Genomic DNA, 22,957 nt, shown 5'->3' on the forward strand with positions numbered 1-22,957 from the left:
AGCTGGAGGGTGAGAGAGTATGAGAATAGCCCCAAGTTAAATACACCACAGACCCACTGGTATTACCAAGGTTCAGTAATTGGTAATTGGTGTTTTTCAGTTTGTTCTCGCGTGTAGTTAATTTCCAGAATTCAAAAATGGTCGAATTTTATTGTTTTGCAAGTATTTCTGTTGCTTTTGGGGGAGAGGGGGTTTACGGAATTTCCTAGTTATGTCATTTTTAGCATAACACTTTTGAGTTTCACCACGTTCCACATATCCGTAGTTTGTTTATATTTTCCAGTACAAGTCCATTTTATGGATATACTTCAGTCTGTTTATGCATTTCATCGGTTAAATAAAATTTGTGTTATTTCTAATTTTTGGTGATTATGAATAAAACCACCGCAAACTTATACACATAAGTGTTTGTGTGAACATAACTTCTTTTCACTTCCTCTGGGTAAATATCTTGAAAGAGGATTTGCTGGGTTGCGGGGTAAGTGTGTGTTTAAAGCAATAAGAAACTGCAATTGCAAACCTGTTTTCAAAGCAGTTGTAACATTTTGCATTCCAAGCAGCAAAAAAGAAAAAGGGTATCTCAATTGCTCCACATCCTCACTATCACCATGGTATTCTTGTTTTTTCTTTTTTAAAAGAAAAGATGCCTCAGTGGCCCCCACCTTGCTGAGCAGGAGGCAAGTCTGCTCTCGGCTGTCAGCAGCAGAACCTGAAAGCGTCAGGCTTCTTTTAATCAAATCTAGGAAGTTTGCTCACCAGCCTGGTTGTCTAAACTTCCCCAGGGAAGATATTGTCTGAGCTCTGCATGGAGGCTGCTCCCACCTGGATCCAAGGAGCTCACAAGACCCTCCCAGGCCCCTGCAGGTGAGCCGTTCCCAGGGGAACCACTGCCTTCTCCTGCCCTCCGCTGCAGGTGTGGGCTGCAGGTGGGCTGATCCCCCCCTCTGTCCCCACGGGTGACTCCTGCGTCAGGAGGGAAAGGACCCTTGGCCTTGGAGTGCCTGGGAGGGGCGGGGGCCAGCTCCAGCTGCAGCTGCCTTTTCCAGGGGTTCTCAGGAATAAGCCATGAACAAAAGCAGATGTCTCAGCTTGGAGGAACTTTGAGTCATCTGGACCAATCCAGTCAGGTCACAGAACTGCACACTGAGGCACAAACTCCAGAGGGAGCAGGGTCTATGCAGAAAGAAAGCTCAGCACTGGTGTGGTCTTGGACAAGTCACTTCCCCTCTGTCTGGGGCCTCAGTCTCCCTGAGGGGAGTGGGTGGGCTGACCCGGTTGCCCTCCAAGTTGCCTTCTGTCTGTGACACTCCAAGTCCAGGGTCTCCTGCCCAGCATCTGACCTAGAGTTAAATTGGGTCACAATAAGTCTGGAATCATTGGAGAGTTTCTGGTTGCATGGCTGAGCCTCAAGATTATAAAATGGAAATAATCCCTGCACCAAAGATACGGCCTGCTGTCCCTCCCTCCCCTCCTTTCCTTCCTCTCCTTCCTCTCCTTTCTTCCTTCCTTCCTTCCCTCCCTCCCTCCCTCCCTTCCTTCCCCCTCCCCTCTTCTCCCCTCCCCTCCCCTTCCCTTCCTTCCCTCCTCTCTCCCTCCCTTCCTTCTCTCTCTGTGCCTCTCCCTCTCTGTCTCTGTTGTAGGGAGTTATCCTCCCTCTGTCCCTTCTTTCTCTCTGTGCCTCTCCCTCTCTGTCTCCATTGTAAGGAGTTATACCAGCGACTGAGGGAGATTGACTTTAATTCTCCTCCTCCCTTGCCATTCACCCCCATTCTCTGCTTACCTTCCCTTTCCTGCCCCCATGGCTGACTGCAGCACCTCCACCTGGCAGTCCCAGTTGGTCTCTGCCAGTGGAAAGGACTGTGTCCCCATGAACCATGGGCTTTGACACCACTGTGGAACTGAAGAACTGTAGACATGGAATTGCCCCAGGAGCTCAGGGAGGCCGCGGCAGGCCTGGGATTCCTGACAGCCTGGGCTGCAAATGCTCACCTTTCTTCACATAAGGAAAGGGGAAGAGCAGGCAGTAGGAAGGCAGGGGCAGGGAAGGATTTCAGCCTAACAGCAACCTGACACCCACTGTGTATCACCTGAGGCCGGGCGTGGGGAGGACTCGGGACTGACCACGCTGCTTCCTTTGAGTCTTTGGCAAGGGATTCTGATGGAGGGGAGGCCAGATTGGGCCGGGGTGGGGCAGAGTGAGTCATGGCAGCGCCACCCACCTCGCCGGGTGAGGCCAGGGCGTGGGCTCTTGCCTGAACACTCCAGGGCTTGCTTCCCTGGACTCCGGGCTGAGGGACAAGAAGCCGGGGTCGCGCTCCCACTCGGGGGTCTCAGCCTCCCTCCCAGTGCCCACTCCCTCCCGTAGCTCCCCCTCCTCCTCCCCACCTCCCTCCACCTCCCTGCCTTGCTCACCATTTCCCATGGCGTCCATCACCAGGGGCAGTGGGGATGGAGCAAGAGCCTGTGCCCGGACAGCCCTCCCGGCTTGGGCCTCTCCACGCCTTCCAGAGGGAGCGGAGCCGTGAGATTCAAGGCTTCGCCGAGACTGCCAGGGAGGTGGGCTTTCAAAGAAGCGGCAAATAAATGACCGCGGAAGTTGTGGCCCCTGAATAGGTTGCCACCAGCCGGCATGAACACGGCTGGTGTCTTTGCCAGCCCAAAAGAAAATCATCTCCCCCGCCCCGCCTTTTTTTTCTTTTTTTCCTGAAAGCCAGTTGGAAACTGGAAATCTGCTTTGGCGAGTTCTCGCCGCTCAGCAAAGCTCGTCAGCAAAGCAAAACTCGGCCAGTGCAGCTATTTTCGTAGGTCGGTGCCAGTGGCGGCGCGCAGGGCCAAGTCCTTCCGAGCTGAAGTGACCCTGGTTTTCTCAAGGCTCCCCCTCCATGGTCTCACTGCTGGAGGGAGAGAGGAGCGGGTCTTGGGATGGACCCCAAGGCAGGGAGAAACGGGGTTTAGTTATGAACGTGCTGTCATCAAGGTGTGGTCTCTGGAACTGGGTTTCAAAATGGCTTGGATGTCCTCAATGGGAAAAGGAGGAGTCTTTAGGCCGGGTGATGGAACTCACAGGTGCCATTTGCAGACATCTCCGTGGAAGTGAAAGTCTGATTTCCCGGGGCTTGATTCCTAGAGAGGCAGTGGCCAGCCTGGGATGCTTCTCATGGGTGCACCAGGAGAACCGGGGGTATGTGAGGGCCTCAGAGACCTGGCCCAGGACCGCACCTCCGCCCCTGGACAACCTCGTGAGCAATGTAGGGGAGCGTGGCTCACCCCACAGCCATCTCAGGGCCGCTTATGAATATTGGAATGTTCTTCCTTAGATGAAGCCAAATTTGCCTCTCTGTACTTCACACAGGACAGTCACAAAGCTTTTTCTTTTAAGCTGGTGGAGATTTTGCATAGCATCAGTTTAATCCTCCTCATTTCAAAGATGGAGAAACTGAGGCCCAGAAAGGGACAGTGGTTGAACTGGGGGCAAAGCCAGGTCAACCCTCTTACATCGGCCCCCAACCCTGGCCCTAGCTCTGCCCTCCGAGACCACTTGGCCGAGCTGTCCCCTTCTCAGGGAGACAACCTCTCCCTGAGCTCTGTGACGCTGGCCTGGGCACAGACCCTAAGCCCCCTCCCAGTTCCAGCCCACACCCTGGCCGTCCTCGCTCAGGCACTTCCAGAAAAATCTCCAAGTCCATTGGTCAGCAGCCGTCAGACACTCAGGGCTCCTGGGCTCCCAACCCTCTCACCAGGTCTAGAGCTGCCCCCGAGCCCCTCCCCCAGGCCTCCCTCCAGGCCCACTTTCCTGCCCCATTGTCCTTCTTACCCCAGACCCAGAGCTCACATTGACCTTGGTGGGGTCTGGTTCTTCAGTGCCCCGTAGGCACTTCCTGCTGCTGTGTGCATCTGGCCACGAGGTCCTTTCAGGAGAGTCTTCCCTTCTCCTTCCTCTTTGCTGGGGAATCCTAGAGACATTGCCTTGGGACAAGCCTAGTGCTGAACATAATGGGAGATCCTTGCTTTGCTCTGTGGGAGAAGATGCTTGGCTGACCCGGATATGAGGTGTGCAGCCTCCCCCGCACCCTATCACAGCAGAGGAAGAGCTCAGATAACTTTTGCATCTGGGGTCTTTCCTCCTGTTCCAGGGAATGTGAGGTGGGAACTCAGCCTTGCAGATGAGCCAACTCCCTTTCCAGGGCCTGTGGGACCCATGCTGGGGAGGGGGTCACCCCTCTGGGTCCCTGCCTACTGCCCCTGACACCCTGGTGTCTCAAGTCAGTAAGATTCAGACTCTTTATTTGAATTAATTTAATTTATTATTTTAATATGGAAGCCCCAGTCCTCTTCCTTCTTCTTCTTTTTTTTTTTTGCAATTTTTACAATTGAAGTAGAATCAATATACAATAAAATATATCTCAAATAAACAGCTTGATGAGTTTTGAAAATGCAACCACCCACATCATTAACCCACAAATCAGGACATAGAACATGTCCATCACCCTAGAAAGCCCACCCTATCTCCAGTCAATGGACCCCTCCCCTCTAGAGGCTGACGCTGCTCTGACTCACATCCCCATGGGTTGGCTTTGCCTGCCCTAGACCTTCACAAGAATAGAATCATTTTGTGTGTGTCTGACAGCCTTCACCAAGTAAGAGGTTTCTCCACAGGGCTCCCTCCTTGGCTTGGCTTGTGGATGGCTGCCTTTTGCTGCGTCCTCACAGGGCATGTCCCTGTGTGCACATATCCCTGGTGTCTCTTTCTCTTCCTGTAAGGTTCCCCAGTCATATGGGATTAGGGCTCCACCCATACAACCTCATTTAACCTTAATCACCTAACCTTAATCATGTAACCTTAATCACCAAGGGTCCTATTTCCAAATACTGTCACATTCTAAGGTACTGGGGATTGGGCTTTAACATAGGAGTTTTGGAGGGATGCAATTTAGTTCATAACAGAGTGATATGGTTTGGCTGTGTCTCCGCCCAAATCTCATCTTGAATTGCAGCTCCCATAATCCCCACCTGTCGTGGGAGGGGTGCAGAGGGAGGTAATTGAATTGTGGGGGTGGGGTTTTCCCATGCTGTTCTTGTGATAGTGAATAAGTCTCATGAGAGCTGATGGTTTTATAAAGGGGCCTTCCCCGCACACACTTTCCTGCCTGCTGCCATGTAAGATGTGTCTTTGCTCCTCCTTCACCTTCTGCTGTGATTGTGAGGTCTCCCCAGCCATGTGGAACTCTGAGTCCATTAAACCGCTTTCCTTTATAAATTACCCAATCTCAGGTGTGTCTTTATTGGCAGTGTGAGAACAGATAAATACACACAAACATTTAGAAACTGTTAATTTCTAAATGTCTTTCCTCATTGATAGTTTTTGATGATTTTCTAACTTCATCTTTCCTTCCATATTTATTAGTTTTAATTCTTCTGAAGGAAGAACTTTCCCTTCTCCACATTTATTTCTTTATTCATTTCAGCATAGATGTGGATTTCTCTTATATTCAATGGGTTGAAACTCATTACTATCATTATTTATCTTTGTGCTCTAATTATCCTGAATTTGGCCAGTGGTAGCTTCTTTCATCTGGTTCCTGTTTTTTTGGCAAGTGCTCATAATTTTTTTCATAGATTTTATATTTTAGAGCCATTTTAGACTCATTGCAAAATTGAGTTGGAAGCTCTGAGGTCCCATATACCCCCTGCCCCCACACACATAATCCCCCTGCCCATTATCAAAATTCTGCACCACATGGACGTGTTTTCTGAGCACTTCCTCCAGATATTTGTGCTTGTTTTTATTCCCCAGTACCTTCAAAATTCTTTATTATGTCCAGGTTTTACAATTGTTTTCTGTAGGGTGTGTGTAGGGGTGGGAGTGTTTCAGTAGGGTATTGCCTCACCACGCCTGAAAGCAGAAATCCCACGCCTATCTTTTATTATCTGGAGTGGAGATGTTTCATTTTAATTAGGGGGTTTAGTCTACTTGCAGTTAATAAAATGATTGATACGGTTGGGTTCAAGTTTACTATCTTACTGCTGGTTTTCTATTTACCCCCTTTTATTTGTTCTTTGCTTTCTTCTTCCATACCTTCGTTTGAGTTATTTGGGGGTTTTTTTGTATTCCATTTTATTTCCTTTTATGGGTTTTCAGCTATACTTCTTTGTATTAGTTTTACTTGTTTCTGCAGGCTTACAATATGCATTCTTAACACATAATGGTCCAATGGGAATGAATGTTATGCCATCTCACGTATAAGCTAAGATGCAGCAGTATAATTCCATTTCTTCCCTCCCATCCTCTGAATTATTGCTGCCATAAATCTTACTTCAGTAAGTGACAAGCCCTATTGTTCACCCATTGAACAATCAATTGTCTTTTAAGGAATTAGAAAAATACAATTTTCCATTTATGCACATAGTAACGATTTCCAACGCTCTGCATTCCTCTCTGCACAGCACAACTTTCACTCATTATCATGTCCCTTCGGACTGAAGAAATTCCTTTAGCATTTCTTGTAGTGCAAGTCTGTTGGCAAAGAATCTTCCTGTATTTCATTTCCCCAAGAATGTCATTATTTCTCTCTCATGTTTATTAGACTTTACTTTTTTTATTTTTTAGAGCTGTTTTAGTTTCACTGGAAAATTGAGCAGACGGTACAGAGAAGGTACATACACCTCCTGAGCACCCCTCACGTGCCCAGCCTCCCACATTATCAGCATCCCCCACCAGAGTGGTCCACTCGTTACAACTGATGAACCTACAGTGACACAGCATTCCACCCATAGTGTATGTTACGGTCCACTCGTGATGTTGTACATTCTATGCATTTGGGCAAATTTATAATAACACTATAGTATATAATAACCACTATAGTATCATACTGAACATTCACTGCCCTAAACATCCTCTGTGCCTCACCCACTCATCTCTCCCTCCCTCCTACCCCCTGCTATTGATACTGTCTCTATAGTTTGCCCTTCCCAGGGTGTCATATAGTTAGAATCACACAGTATGTAACCTTTTCAGGGGACTGGCTTCTTTCACTTAGTGATACGCATTTAAGCTTCCTCCATGTCTTTTTATGATAGCTCATTTCTTTTTAGCACTAAATAATATTCCATTGTCTGAATATACCACAGTTTATTTATCCATTCACCTCCTGAAGGACATCTTAGCTGCTCTCGAGTTTTGGTAATTATGAATAAAGAGTCTATAAATATCCATGTGAAGGTTTTGCATGGACATAACTTTTCAACTCCTGTGAGTAAATTCAACGTGATTGCTGAATTGTGTGGTAAGAGTGTGTTTAGCATTGTAAGAAAGTGTCAAACTGTCTTCCAGAGTGACTGTAGCATTTTGCATTCCCGCAGCAATGAATGAGAGTTCCCGTTGCTCCACATCCTCAGCAGCATGTGGTGTTGTCGGTGTTCTGGATTTTGGCCATTTTAATAGGCGTGTAGAGGTAGCTGGTTGTGGTTTTAATTTGCACTTCTCTGACAATGTTGAGCATCATTTAATTATGCTTACTTGCCATCTGTATATCTTCTTTGGTGAGGTGTCTATTAAGGTCTTTGGCTCATTTTAAAAATAAAGTTGTTCATTTTCTTATTATTGAGTTTTGAGAGTTCTTTGTATATTTTGAATAAAAGACATTTATCAGATATATCTTTTGAAAATATTTTCTCCTAGTCTGTGACTTTTCTTCTTATTCTCTTGAGAATGCCTTTTGCAGAGCAGAAATTTTTTATTTTTATTTTTTTGAGACAGGGTCTCACTCTGTCACCCAGGCTGGAGGGCAGTGATGCAATCATAGCTCACTGCAGCTTTTAACCCCTGGGTTCAAGTGATCCTCCTGCCTTAGCCTCCTGGGACTTCAGGCATACACCACCATGCCTGGCTAATTTTAAAAATTTTAATAGAGATGAAATCTCACTATGTTGCCCAAGTTGGGAATTTTTTTATTTTAGTGAAGTCCAACTTATGATTTTTTTTCTCTCATGGGCCATGCTTTTGGGGTCATATCTAAAAAGTCATCTCCAAACCTAAGGTTATTGAAGTTTTCTCCTGTGTTATCTTCTAGTAGTTTGACAGTTTTGCATTTTACACTTAAGTCTGTGATCGTTTTGAGTTAATTTTTGTGAAGGATGTAGGTCTGTATCTAGATTTATTATTTTGCATGTGGAAGTAGAGTTCTTTCAGCACCATTTGTTGAAAGAATTGTTTTTCTTCGTTGTATTGCCCTTGCTTCTTTCAAAGATCAGTTGACTACATTTGTGTGGGTCTGCTTCTGGGCTGTCTATTCTGTTCCACTAATTGACTTGTCTATTCTTTTACCAATACCACACTGTCTTGATTACTATAGCTGTATAGTAAGTCTTGAAGTCAGGTAGTATCATTCCTCCAACTATGTTCTTCTCCTTTAACATCATGTTGGCTATCTTGATCTGTTGCTTTTCCATATAAACTTTAGATTCAATTTGTTGATACCCACAAAATAACTTGCTAGGATTTTTAATGGATAACATTAAAACTACAGATCAGTTTGGGAAGAGCTGACAACAATCCATGAACATGGAATATCTCTCCATTATTATTATTATTATTTTTTATTTTTTTGAGACAGATTCTCAATCTGTCACCCAGGCTGGAGTGCAGTGGTGCAATCTTGGCTCACTGCCACCTCTGCCTCCCAGGTTCAAGTGATTCTCCTACTTCAGCCTCTTGAGTAGCTGAGACTACAAGCACGTGCCACCAAACCCAGCTACTTTTTGTATTTTTAGTAGAGACGGCATTTCACCATGTTGACCAGGCTAGTCTTGAACTCCTGACCTCAGATGATTCACCTTCCTCAGCCTCTCAAAGTGCTGGGATTACAGGTGTGAGCCACTATGCCTGGCCATTCTTTGATTTCTTTCATCCGAATTTTGTAATTTTCTTCATATAGATCTTGTACATATTTTGTGAGATTTGTACCTGAGTATTTCATGTTCAGGGTGCTAAATTTCAAATTTCACTTGTTTATTGCTGGTATATTGGAAAGCAGTTGATTTGGGGTATTAACTTTGTATCCTGCAACCTTGCTATAATTGCTTATTATGCCCAGGAAGCTTTTTTTCTATCCTTTTTGATTTTCTATAGAGACAATCATGTCTTTTGCAAACAAAAACAGTTTTATTTCTTCCTTCCCAAGCTTTATACCTTTAATTTCATTTTCTTGTATTGCATTAGCTAGAACTTCCAGCATGATGCTGAAAAGCAGTGGTGATAGAGACATCCTTGACTTATTCTCAGTCTTAACAGGAAAGCTTCAAATTTCTCACCATTAAATATGATAGCTGTAGGGTTTTTGCAGATATTCTTTTTTAAGGAAGTTCCTCTCTATTTCTAGTTTACTGAGAGTTTTAAAAATCCATGAATAGGTGTTAAATTTTGTCAGATGGTTTTTCTGCATCTATTGATATGACCACATAATTTTTTAACCTGTTAATGTGATGGATTACATTTGATTGATTTTTGAATGTTGAATCAGCCTTGCATACTTGGGATAAATGCCACTTGGTTGTGGTATATACTTCTTTTTATACAGTGTTGGATTTATTTGCCAGTATGGTTTAGGGTTTTTGTATCTCTGTTCATGAGCAATATTGGTCTGTAGTTTTCTTTTCTTGCGATGTCTTTGGACTGGTAGTAGGGTAATGCCGGCCTCATGGAATGATTTAGGAAGTATTCTTACTGTTTCTATCTTCTGAAAGAAACTGTAGATAACTGTTATAACTTCTCCTTTGAATGATTGGTAGGATTCACAGGTGAACCCATCTGGATCTAGTGCTCTCTGTTTTAGAGGGTTCTTATTTATTTATTTATTTAATTTCCATAATAGATATAGGCCTATCAGGTTATCTGTTTCTTCTTATGTGAGTTTTGGCAGAGTATTTTTCAAGGAATTGGTTCATTTCTTCTAGATTATTAAATTTGTAGGTATAGAATTGTTATAGCATTCCTTTTTTGTTCTTTTCATTTTCATGGGACCAGTAGTGATGGCTTCTATTTCATTTCTGATGTTAGTAATTTGTGTCTTCTTTCTTAGTTAACCAGGCTAGAGGTTTACCAATTCTATTGATTTTTTTTTTTTCAAAGAACCAGCTTTTGGAGTTAGGTATTTCCCTTCCTCCATGTAGAAGGCTAGAGCTGGCTGAAAATGGGTATTTTCCTTTCCCCAGGTTAGTTAGGCTCTGATAAAACCCCAGCAGGTTAAGCTCTGGTCAAATAGTTTCTCCTGAGGGCAGACCTTATTAAGAAGAATATAATGCTCTAGTATATATCAAAATGGTTCCCTTTCCCCTTTCCTTGCCAGAAGCAGGAGGGAATTTTTCTCCAATATTCACTATGAGGACCTGATAGAGGTTCTGCAGGTAAAACTCACAAGATAGTTCCCTCCTACTCCCATGACCGGCTCTTCCTGGAATTTTTAGCTCTCAGATTTGTCCACATTAAGCCTCCAGCAATTTTTTGATTACACTTTAGGTTTTTCTATGCTGGCACTGGTTTCCATGAGGTTTCAGTGAATGGGTTTCTGTTCCAGTAAGTTTTGAATCTCTGAATTTGCCTATCTTTCCAATTCAGGGGGGAAGAGGAGTGCCCTGCATCTCACCTCTTGTACAGATGTAAGAAGAGTCATTGATTTTCAAACAAGTCGTTGGTTTTGAAAGCAGTTTGTTCAGTTTTTTTTTTTTTTTTTACCTTTTGGGAGAGAGTGGCAACTTTTAAGCTTCTTACATGCCTGACTGGAAACTGAAAATCTCCTTTATTTTTGAAAGATATTTTTGCTGGAGACAGAATTCTGGAAGGCCATATTTTTCTTTTAGCACTTTAAAGATGTTCTTCTATTGTTACGTGAAAGATTCTCCCCAGGGCCTGAAAGCTTGAAGGGATGAGTAACTCCCCCCTTCTCAGGCCCAGTCCCAAGGCGCAAGGCTACTTACTTCAGCAGCGTGTGTCAGCAAGATAGCAGAAGCAGGAAGAGAGCCCACCAGAAGACACCTACCCTGGCCGGAAGACACGTACCCCTAAAGATCAAGAAAGAGGCCATCCGGGTACTACCTAGCAGTCACGTCAGACTGGGACACTTCCTGTTTACAGAGGACTATAAAATTCCTTCCCCCTCTTCATTTGGGGCTGACGCCATTTTAGGCCTCAGCCAGCCCGCACCCAGGGGCTCATTAAAACAGCGTGTTGCTCCACACCGCCTGGTGTTGTCTGTTGGTGCGCTCTCGAGGTTTGAACGGATACAAGGACCTTTCATTATGACCTCTATTATTTCTGACAAGAAGTCCATTGTTATTATTATCATTGTCTACGCTGTATGTAATGCACCATTTTTCTTTGACTACTTTTAAGATTTTTCTTATCTTTAGTTTTCCCAATATTACTGTGGTATATCCAGGTGTAGTTTTCTTTGTATGTATACTGTTTAGGCCCACAGAGATCCTTAGACTTGTGTGTTAGTGTTTTTACTTAAATTTAGATTTGGGGGAGGCTATTAATACTTTACATATTTTTCTGTTTCATTTTCTTTTTTTTTAATTCTAGGAATCCAATCACATATATATTAGATTTCTTAACATTGTCTCACATTGAGTTCTGTTTGAAGTTTTAACTTTTTTCTAGGTTTCAATTTGATTAATTTCTATTGACCTATTTTCAAGTTCACTGATGCTTTCTTCTGGAGTCTCCAGTCTGCCTTCTAATACAGTGTTCATTTCAGATATTGAATTGTCCAGTTTCCAAATTATTATTTGATTCTTTTTCTTTTTTATTTCTCTTCTGATATTTCTCATTACAGTGGAAATATACATAATATATCCATCTTTTTCCTGTAAAAAATTTACTTAAACTTCTTCTCAACTAACTCAAATATCTGAGTCATCTGTTAGTTTGCTTCTTTTGCCTGGCTTTTTTCTTTTGATTATGAGTCACATTTTTCTGCTCCTTTTCATGCCTACTTTTGACCTCAAAAAAGCCAAACTCTGTAAAATATTTAAAGAGGTTTCTTCTGAGTCTTATATTTGAGTGCTCATGTCCTGTGGCACAGCTTCAGGAGGTCCTAAGAACATGTGCCCAGGGTGGTTGGGTTATAGCTCGGTTTTATACATTTTAGGGAGACAGAAATCATAGGCAAAGACACACATCGGTACATGTAAAGTACATTCAGCCTGGAAAGGCAGGACATCTTGAGGTGAAGAAGGGTTGGGGTAGCTCACAAGTCCTAGCTGGATTCAAAGATTTCCTGATTGGTGATTGGTTGAAGAAGTTAAGCTTTGCCTGAAGAGTTGAAGTCAGAATAAAGAAATGCTTGAGTTAAGATAAGGGGGGGTTGCAGAAGCCAAGGTTCTTGTTACGTAGGTGAAGCCTTCAAGTAACAGGCTTCAGAGAGAATAGATGGTAAGTGTCTATAGGACCTTAAAAGGTGTCAGACTCTCTGAAAAAGACCTAGTAAGGAAAAGAGATTCTCTAGAGAATGAACATTTCCCCTACAAAAGATGGCTTTGCAGGGGCTTTTCAAAATATGTTAAAGAAAATGTATTTTGGGGTAAAATACTTTGGTTTCCTTCAGGGCCTACTATCTGTCATGGGATGCTATACCAGAGTCAGTTTGGAGTGGGTATCATTGCTACAAAGAGTCTGTTTTGTTTGTCTTATGATCCCCATTGTAATATTAATGCTGATCCGTTGCGCCTTAATTCCAAAGGGAGAAGAGTATAATGGGCCATGTCTGATCTCCACTTGCTGTCATGGCCAAAACTAGTTTTTCAGGTTTCTTTGGATCCCCTTGGCCAGGAGAAGGATCCATTCAGTTGGTTGAGGGGCACATAGAATTTTATGTTTGGTTTACACTATTAATTTTTGACCATACAATAAACATTATAGGCGATACATCATAGAAGCTCTGGATTCTATTATTTTCCTTTAAAGAGTGTTTCCTTTTTTCTGGAAGGCAAATAAATAAGTGGCAGTCATTACTTTGGTCTGGGAGAGGCTTGCTTTAAGGTTTTCAAAGGGCGAGTTCCTTCCCATTTTTCCCTTAGTCCTAGAGTGTGGTCCTTAGCCCTGGAACATGGTCCTTATACATAAGGCATGGCTCCTTTGGCTTCCGTTGAAGGGATAACGTTTCAAAAATGGAACTTCAAGTTCTATCCCTCCTGAACTGGGCAGCTGATTAAATCTCTGCTTGGATCTTTCAGACTTCTAGGTGCTGCTTTTCACTGAGATTTTTAGAGTCTTTACTCATACATAAGCAGTTTAGGAGTTAGCTAAGATTTTGAAGAGGAATTGGTATGCAGATTTGGGGATACTTCCTTCCACCCCATGACTCTCTCCTTTCTTCCCCACTTTCAGCTTCTATGGTTTCTCTTAACCCAGGCCTCTGGTTCAGCAGCCTCTTTAGACTGTCACTTTCTGCTTGAGCTTATTCCTGCATGTGATACACACTGGATAGTGTCTCTCGGGGAAACATCATTTAAACATACATCTCACCTAATGTTTCCTTGTTTTAGGTGTCATGTCTTCTTAAGTCTTAGCCTGTTTCAGGTTTTTCTTAAATGTTCATTCAAATGGCTGTTTTTATATTTTGTCCAGAGTGTAATTATTGTCAGGAGAAAACAGAGTCTGTTACAAGCTATTCTGCCATTATTGGAGTACTCAGACTTTTACTTTAACTTAAAAAATAATTATAGACTCACAGGAGTCTATAGGAAATTGCAAAACTAGAACACAGACTCCAATATACCCTTTTCCCAGTTGTCCTTAATGGTGCTAACTCTAGTGCGGTATCAAAACAAGGGAATTGACATTGGCGCAATGCTGTTAACTAGACTACAGACCTTATTCCATTTTCACAGGCATTTATTTGTGTATATGTAGAGGGTGTATGCAGTTCTGTGCAATTTGATTCCATACACAAATTTGTGTCATCACCGATTATACAAAGAAGCTGTCTTGTGCTGCCCCTTTCTTACAACCGACTCACATAACTATTCACTATTCAAGTAGTTTGCACAACCCATTCCATCTCTGTCTGCTGGAAAGCATTAATAAGTTCTCCAGTTCTATATCTTTGTCATTTTTAAATGTTGCATAAAAGGAATCATATAGTATGAAGATTTTGAGATTGACTTTATATATAAAATACAATGCTCTGGAGATCCATTCTGGTTGGTGCATGTACCAACAGTTCATTCCTTTCTTTCTCTTCTCTTTTTGAAATTTTTTTGAATTTCTAATAATAAACTTTTAATTTTAGAACAGTTTTAGATTTATGGAATTATTCTAAAGATAGTACAGAGAGTTGCCGTATACCCACACCCAATTTCCCCATGTTTTTGACATCTTACATTAGTATGATACATTGGTCAATTAATGAACCACTATTGATGTTATTTTATTTATTTATTTATTTATTTCAAGACGGGAGTTTCACTCTTGTTGCCTAGGCTGGAGTGCATTGGTGTGATCTCGGCTCACTGCAACCTCTGCCTCCCAGGTTCAAGTGATTCTCCTGCTTCGACCTCCCGAGTAGCTGGGATTACAGGCATGCGCCAACACACCCAGCTAATTTTGTATTTTTAGTAGAGACAGAGTTTCACCATGTTGGCCAAGCTGATCTCAAACTCCTGACTTCAGGTGATCTGCCTGCGTCGGCCTCCCAAAGTGCTAGGATTACAGGCGTGAGCCACCGCTCCTGGCCTGATATGTTATTGTTGATTCGAGTCTGCAGTTTATTTGTATGCTTTCTATTTAAAAGTGAGCTTTCTTCACTTTCTCCCTGATATCCTTTTTCTGTCCCAGGATTCTGCTTCATGTAGTCATCATGTCTCCTTAGGCTCTTCTTGATTGTGACAGTTTCTCAGGCTCTGTTTTTATTTTTTGATAACCTGGAGGGTTTTGAGGAGTATACATGAGGTATTTTGTAGACTTTCCCTCAATTGGGATTGATCTGATGTTCTTGTCATGATAAGGATGGGGCAATGTGTTTGGGGGAGGAAGATCACAGAAGTAAAGTGCTGTTCTCATTATATCACGTCAAGGGTATATATTACCAATGTTAACATCACTGCTGATGTTGACCTTGATCACCTCATTTGAAGTAGGGCTTGTGAGGTTTCTCCACTGTAAAGTGACTTTGTTCATCTCCCTTTCCATACTGTAATCTTTGGGAAAAAGTCACTATGTGCAGCCTACACTGAAGGAGTTGGTAGCGCCGCTCTACCTCCTTGAGGGCACGATACCCACATCATTATTTAGAATTCTGCACAGGAGATTGCCTGTAGTCATTTATTTATGTATTCAATCATTTATTTATATCAGTATTTATTTTATACTTTTGGCTATCACCCAATACTACGTTTATTTTATCACTCATTGTTTTAGCTTTGACCATTGGAAGCTCTTTCAGTTGGTTCCTCTAACCCATTGACATACCTCGTATCACTGTGAGTTTCCCGTTTGGGTTTTTTTGTTTGTTTGTTTGTTTTGCACTGTCTTTCTTCCTGGCACTACAAGATACTCCAGGCCCATCTTGCACTTTCCTGACCCAGTCCTAGAATCAATCATTGTTCCAAGAATTCCTGGTTCCTTTTATTGGAGAATGGTGTTAGAAACCAAGGTCTGGGTGAAAGATGTGCTTATTGCTACTGTAGTGTCATTGCTTCTAGGCCCTCTCAACTGATGGAGCAAAGCGATATGTTTGTTTATACTAAATCATGTATATACACATCTTTACTATTTCTGTATGTAACTATATGTATTTACATTATTCTAAACATGAATTTATACTGATGTCAACTCTAATCGATTGCTACATGTATCATTTTAGACTCCTGGCTTATCTGTAATTTACTACTTAACAATAAAAAACTTGGCTCCCATCCTCTGTCATCTGTTTACTTAATTGTTTCTTCCAGTGTACATCTATAGCAGTTTCATGTCAACCTGTACCCTCTGTGGGAACAACTTTATCAACTAGAATGCAGTGTTTAGGTACAGTTCTTTTGCTTTTAGTGTTCAGACTCTACTACATTCAAAGTCACTTAAGTGAGCACCTTATCCTCCCATTCCCTTCAGTTAGGCTGTTTTATACATCTATAATGCATTTAGATGATTTTTTCACTGACTGCCTTCCATTTTGGGCTGTCCCAACCTCCTAAATGATTTTTAAATTTGCATATATGGAAAAGAATTTATATGTTAATGTGCTGTAAAGCTTTATTGATTTTGACAAATGTATGTATCATGTAGCCAACATTACAGTATAATACAAGATTGTTTTCCTGCCCTAAAATATCCCTCGTGATTCACCTATTCAATTGTACCCCCAGTCCCCTAGAAACCATCGTTTTTTATTGTCTCAATAGTTTTGCTTTTCTCAGAATGCCATATAATTGGAAACTTACAGAATGTAGCCTTTTCAAACTGGCTTCTTTCATTTAGCAATATGCTTAACAGTGGTCTTTCACTTAGAAATGAGTATTTAATATTTATCCATGTCTTTTGTGACTTGATAGGTCATTTTTTTAATTGCTGAATAATATTCCATTGTATGGATGAGCCACAGTTTGTTTATCCATTCTATGAAGGACATCTTGGTTATCTCCAGTTTTTGGCAATTATGAATAAAGCTGATATAAACATTTATATGCAGGTTTTTGTGTGGACATAAGTTTTCAACTCAGTTGGGTAAATACTGAGGAGCATGATTGATGGATCATATGGTAAGATTATATTTAGCTTTGTAAGAAACTGCCAAACTGTCTCCCAAAGTGGCTGTGCCATTTTGTATTCCAACCAGAAATGAGTGAGAGTTCCTGTTGCTCTGCGTCCTCACCAGCAATTGGTATTGGATTTTAACCAACCTAATAGGTGTGTATTGGTGTCTCATTATTGTTTTAATTTGCAAATTGCTAGTGACAAATGATTTTGAGCTCCTTCCACGTACTTATTTGCTATGTATATATCTTCTTTTGATGAGGAGTCCATGAAGATCTTTTCCCTACTTTTGAATTAGGTTGTTTGTTTTCTTACTGCTAATTTTTAATAATTCTTTAAAAAATTTTTGGATACAAGTTATTTAACAGGTATGCATTTTGCAAATATTTACCCCAAATATGTGGTTTTTATTTTTATCCTCTTATTGTCTTTTGCAGTACACAAGATTCTATTTTAATAACATCCAATTTATCATCATTTTCTTTCATGGATCATGCTGTTGATGTTGTATCTAAAAATTTATCAGCAAACCCAAAGTGAAGTAGAATTCTTTCTGTATTTTCTTCTAGGAGTTTTATAGTTTCACATTTTACATTTGGGTTTATGACCTGTTTTGAGTTAATTTTTGTGAAAGGTGTAAAGTCTGTGTTTAGAATCATTTGTTTGCATATGGATGTCCAATGATTCCAGCACTATATTTTGAAAAGATTACTCTTTCTCCATTGAATTGCCATTGCTCTGTTGTCAAAGACCAGTCGGCTAGAATTGTGTGGGTCCAGTTCGGCATTCTGTATTCTGTTTCACTGACCTTTGTGTCTATTTTCTGCTAATGCCACATTGTCTTGATTATTGTAGCTCGATTACTATACTTCTTGAAATCATGTAGTGTGAGTCCTTCAATTTTGTGCTTCTTCAGTATTGTGTTGGCTATTTTGTGCCTTTTCCCTTTCCATATAAACTTTAAATAAGTTTGCTGATATCAACAAAGAGTTTTCTGGCAAGTTGACTGGGATTGCATTAAATCTATAGATTAACAATATTGAAACTTCCAATCCACAAACATGGAATGTCTATTTATTTAGGTCTTTAAAATATTTCAGCCAGATGCAGTGGCTCATGCCTGTAATCCCAGCACTTTGGGAGCTGAGGCGGGTGGATCACCTGAGGTCAAGAGTTCGAGACCAGCCTGGCCAACCTGGTAAAACCCCATCTCTACTAAAAATACAAAAATTAGCTGGGCATGGTGGTGGGCACCTATAGTCCCAGCTACTCAGGAGGCTGAGGCAGGAGAATCACTTGAACCCAGGAGGCAGAGGTTGCAGTAAGCCGAGATCGTGTCATTGCACTCCAGCCTGGGTGACAGAGCAAGACTCTGTCTCAAAAAAGAAAAAAAAAGATTTTATCAGAGTTTATTTCCCCTTTATTACTGAAGAATTTTTTTTTCAGGATATAGAATTTGAGGGTTGACAGTTCCATTCGTTCAGAACTCAGAAAATGTTGTGCCACTTCCTCTTGGCCCTCATGGTTTCAGATGCAAAATCGGCTGTCATTTGGATTGGTGTTCCCCTAAGCATAATACAGTCATGCATCACTTAATGGTGAGGATACATTTTGATAGATTAGTCAGTAGGTAATTTTGTCATCATGCAAATATCATAGAGTGTACTTATACAAACCTAGCCTACTACACACATGGACTCTCTGGTATAGCACATTGCTCCTCAGCTACACACCTGCATAGCGTTATACTGTAGTGAATACTGTAGGCAACTGTAATACTTCAGTCAGTGTTTTTGTATCTAAACCTATCTAAATGTAGAAAAGGTGCAGTAAAAATACGGTGTTATAATCTTATGAGATCACCATCGTGTATGCAGTTTATTGATCAAAACATCATATGCAGCACATGACTGTATGTCATTTTTCTCTGGCTGCCTTCAGGAATTTTTCTTTGTCTTTGTCTTTAGTTTTCAGAAATTTGATTATGATTTTTCTTGGCAAGGATTTCTTTGAGTTCATCCTCTTTGGGGTTCTCTTCATGTCTTGGGTTTGTAAGCTTATGCTTTTGACAAACTTAAATTAAGTCCAAGGTGGGAGGATAACTAGAGGCCAGGAGTTCGAGACCAGCCTGGGCAACATAGCAAGGCCGCTTGTCTTTCTAAAAAAAAAAAAATTGGCAAATTTCCAGCCTTTATTTACTCAGATCCTTTTAATGTCTCACCTTACTTCTCCTCTCCTTCTAGGACTACAGTGACAGGAATATTAGAACCTTTGTAATAGTCCCAGAGTCTCTGTTCATTTTCTTCAGTCTGTTTTCTCTCTGTAGCTCAGATTGGTCTGTCTTTGAATTCTATTGATCTGTCTTTGAGTTCACCACTTCCCTCCTCTGCCATCTCTAATTTACTACTGAAACCATCTAGTGAGTTTTTTTTTTTTTTTAATTTAGTTACTATACTTTTTCAGCTCTGAAATTTCCCTTTGGTGTGTGTGTGTGTGTTTTTTTTTTAATATCTTCATTTTTTTGCTGAGATTTCCTATCTTTCCATTTGTTTCAAGTATGTTCACAATTGCTGCTAAAGCATTCTTAAGATTGCTGCTTTATAATTCTTGTCAGATAATTCCAACATCTGATTCATCTCTATGTTGGCATTTGTTGACTTTCTCATTTCAGCTGTGATTGCCCCGGTTCCTGGTACAATATGGCTTTTTTATTGTGTTCTGGATATTTTGAGTACTGTGTCAGGAGACTCTGTATCCTATTTAATCTTCCTCTTTAACAGGCAGTCATGCTGCTCAGGTGTAGTGGTCAGGCCTGGGTGAGGGTGTGGTTTTACTGTGCACCTTGCTCTTTTAAAACCACTCCAGCTGGCCAGATGCGGTGGCTCATGCCTGTTAATCCCAGCACTATGGGAAGCTGAGGTGGGCAGATCACAAGGTCAAGAGATCGAGACCATCCTGGCCAACATGGTGAAACCCCGTCTCTACTAAAAATACAAAAATTAGCTGGGTGTGGTGGTGTGCGCCTGTAGTCCCAGCTACTCGGGAGGCTGAGGCAGGAGAATTGCTTGAACCTGGGAGGCAGAGCTTGCAGTGAGCCGAGATCATGCCACTGCACTTCAGCCTGGCGACAGAGCGAGACTCCATCTCAAAAACGACAACAACAACGACAACAACACCCCAGCAACAGTGGTTCCCTGACTCATCCCACCTCATTGCTGAAGGGTGAGGCTGAAAGTTGACCCCGCTCTCGAAAGCAGAGCACTAAACTTGCACTGCCTGTTTGCTGCTGAGTGGGGGTGGAAGTATGGTTCTCTGTTAAACCCCATTGACATCAGCAGGGTGGGGGCAAAGCTTCAGCTAGCACTGCCTCATTCAGCCTTACGCTGCCTCACCGGTTCTGGGTAGGGGGGATATATTCAGCTCTCAGCCGGACCTCACCAGCACCACTGGCTGATGGGACCATAACGCACGTGTGTAGGCTGCTTGCTCGGCCTTGCTGCTGCTGGGTGGGTGGAGATGGAGGTTGAGCTTCCTGATTGGTCTCTCTGGCAGGGAGGCAATCATTTCATTGGTTTGGCTGCAGTAGGATGGGTGTTTTAAAAAAGGTTTTCTGTTCTGCTAAGCTGCCATTTTATCTTTGGCTAGAGGAAACAGGCTTTTCTTATGGCTTTTTATTTTGTTTTTGTTTTTGTTTTTTTTGGTCTGTGCCTGTTGGTGGTTAGGGTGGCAGCTTCTCTAGCACCCAGTACAGGAGATACAGGAGGCAAAAAGAAAAGCCGAACACTCACTGCCATGCTGTTCCTATGGTTCCGAGGCCCCTGGGTCATCCGTCTCCTTCTTCCCATCTTTCAGAAGCTTATCAAGCTTGTTTGTTATGTCCAGAATTGTTGGGATTTTTTTAATCAAAAAAGAAACTAGAGAGGGAGGAGGGCCACTTTATCTTGCCTGGAACCAGAAGTTTCTACCTTTAATTTTTCCCCCAACCCTTTAATAAGGAAACAAAATTCTCAAAGATCTCCCAAATTAAATCAGTGAATGCTCTCAGGGACTACAGTCCTCAGTGTGGAAGACACTGAATAAAACACCACAAAGAGTTTTCCCTGTATAACTAGTAAAAATCTTTTTAGATTATTATTAAAAAGAAAACACATGTCAAAAATATCCTCAGAGAATTTTCAAACTCCTGAAACTCCGTGCCCAGTCCCAGAGAGCTCAGTTTTGGTTAAGGAGCAAAATGTGGGTTCTGGCCTGGGTTCCCGTGCCCCTCACCTCCTCCCTCCAGCTGCTGGTGTTCTGTACCTGACCGCTCCTTCTCCTTCTGGTTGCTGACCCTAGCTCTTCTCAATGTGGCCAAATGGGTGACAAAGAGCTGGGTTCAATTCCTGGCCTTGCCACTCACTGGCTGAGTGACGCTGGGGCAGTCTCTTAACTGCTCTATACCTGGGTTTGTTCCTGTGTGAAAATGGGATAAAAGCTGTACAAACCTTATAGGGTAGCTGTGAAGATTCAGCTAAAAAGTGTGTGTAAAAGTAAGAACGTAAGGGCAAATAGTGGGTTCTCGAGAACTAGTTTTCGAATGGATGGAAAAAGAGCCCAGCACAGCGGCAGGGCTATAGCCATCACTCAATAGCGCATGATGTCATTTCTGCCTAGATAGACCCTTCTCATGATTCTAGACTCTTCTCCAGCAGCCATTCCTTGGCTGCCCCTGGGGTCCCCTTGACTCCAGCTTTCTGGGCTGCATCAGGGCTTTGAACAAATCCTTCAGGTTTTCCTTGACTGTGTCCACACTTCAACACTTTTGGTAGATATTAATTGAGCATCTACTGCACACTTGATTTTCTTTGTCTATTCAGGCTGAATACCATAACCTGGGTGGCTTAGCAACAACAGAAATGTTTTTCTCCCAGTTCTAGCAGCTGGGACATCTAAGATCAAGGTACCAGCAGATGCTGAATTCGCTGGGGTCCTGCTTTCTGGTGCATAGACAGCCATCTTCTCTCTGTGTCTTCACATGGCAGAAGGGACAAGAGAGCTCTCTGGGGTCTCTTTATCAGGGCTCTAATCTCATTCATGAGAGCTCTGCCCTCCTGACCTAATCACCCGCCAAAGGTTAACACCTAATACCATCACTCCAGGGATGAAATTTCAACCTATGAATTTTGGAGGGACAGGAACATTCAGTCTATCACATTCTTGCCATGCCCCCCACAAATCCATGTCCTTCTTACATGCAAAATACATTCATTATGTCCTAACAACCCTCAAAATCTTAATTTGTTTCAGCACCAACTCTGAAGTCTAAAATCCAAAGTCTCATCTAAACAGCATCTAAATCTGATATGGGTGAAACTCAAGGTACAACTGCCCGAAGCCAATCTCTCTCCACTTGTGAACCTACGAAGCCAAACGAGTTATGTGCTTCCAAGATCCAGTGGTGGGACAGGCATAGGATAGGCATTCCAAAAGGAAGAAATAGGAAAGAAGGAAGAAATGATAGATCCAAGTAAGTTCAACAGTCCATTCACAGCAGCATCTGTTTTTCTAGCACCCACCTTCTGTCCCCTGTCCATGACCCAGTTCTGCATTTTTAAGGATTTTGGTACAGCAGCACCCTGCTTTTTGCTACCATTTTCTGTATTAGTCTATTCAGGCTATGATAACAAAACTACTGTAGATTGGGAGGTTTCAAAACAATAGAAATTTCTCTCCCATTTCTGGAGGCTGCAGGTCCAAGGTCAAGGCACTGGTAGATTTGGTGTCTGGCAAAGGTCCACTTCCTGGTTCACAGCTGTGCCTTCTCGCTGTGTTCATACATGGCAGAGGGGCCAATGTGTTCTCTGGGGCATTTTTTATAAGGGCACTAATCAATCCGATTTGTGAAGGCTTCATGACCTGATCACCTTTCCAAGGCCCCACCTCCTATTGCCATCGCCGTGGGGATTAGGATTTCAGCCTATGACTCCTGTGTTAGGCCGTTCTTGTGTAGCTGTAAAGAAATCCTCAGGGGCTGGGCGAGGTGGCTCACGCCTGTAATCCCAGCACTTTGGGAAGCTGAGGTGGGTGGATCACCTGAGGCCAGGAGTTCAAGACCAGCCTGGCCAATATGGTGAAACCCATCTCTAGTAAAAATACAAAAATTAGCTGGGGGTGGTGGCACGCACTTGTAATCCCAGCTACTCAGGAGGCTGAGGCAGGAGAATCGCT

General features: G+C 42.4%; 2 annotated features.

The window, feature by feature from the left end:
• Positions 1,654-2,204: an enhancer, noted in NCBI's record as "H3K4me1 hESC enhancer chr14:101617310-101617860 (GRCh37/hg19 assembly coordinates)". NCBI's record gives its function as "activates a minimal SCP1, AML or CMV promoter by ChIP-STARR-seq in naive H9 embryonic stem cells {active_cell/tissue: H9 hESC(naive)}" and the evidence as "EXISTENCE:reporter gene assay evidence [ECO:0000049][PMID:30033119]".
• Positions 2,205-2,755: an enhancer, noted in NCBI's record as "H3K4me1 hESC enhancer chr14:101617861-101618411 (GRCh37/hg19 assembly coordinates)". NCBI's record gives its function as "activates a minimal SCP1, AML or CMV promoter by ChIP-STARR-seq in naive H9 embryonic stem cells {active_cell/tissue: H9 hESC(naive)}" and the evidence as "EXISTENCE:reporter gene assay evidence [ECO:0000049][PMID:30033119]".

The sequence above is a fragment of the Homo sapiens genome, chromosome 14 (genome assembly GCF_000001405.40).
Source record: "Homo sapiens chromosome 14, GRCh38.p14 Primary Assembly".
In the NCBI taxonomy this organism is placed as follows: Eukaryota; Metazoa; Chordata; class Mammalia; order Primates; family Hominidae; genus Homo; species Homo sapiens.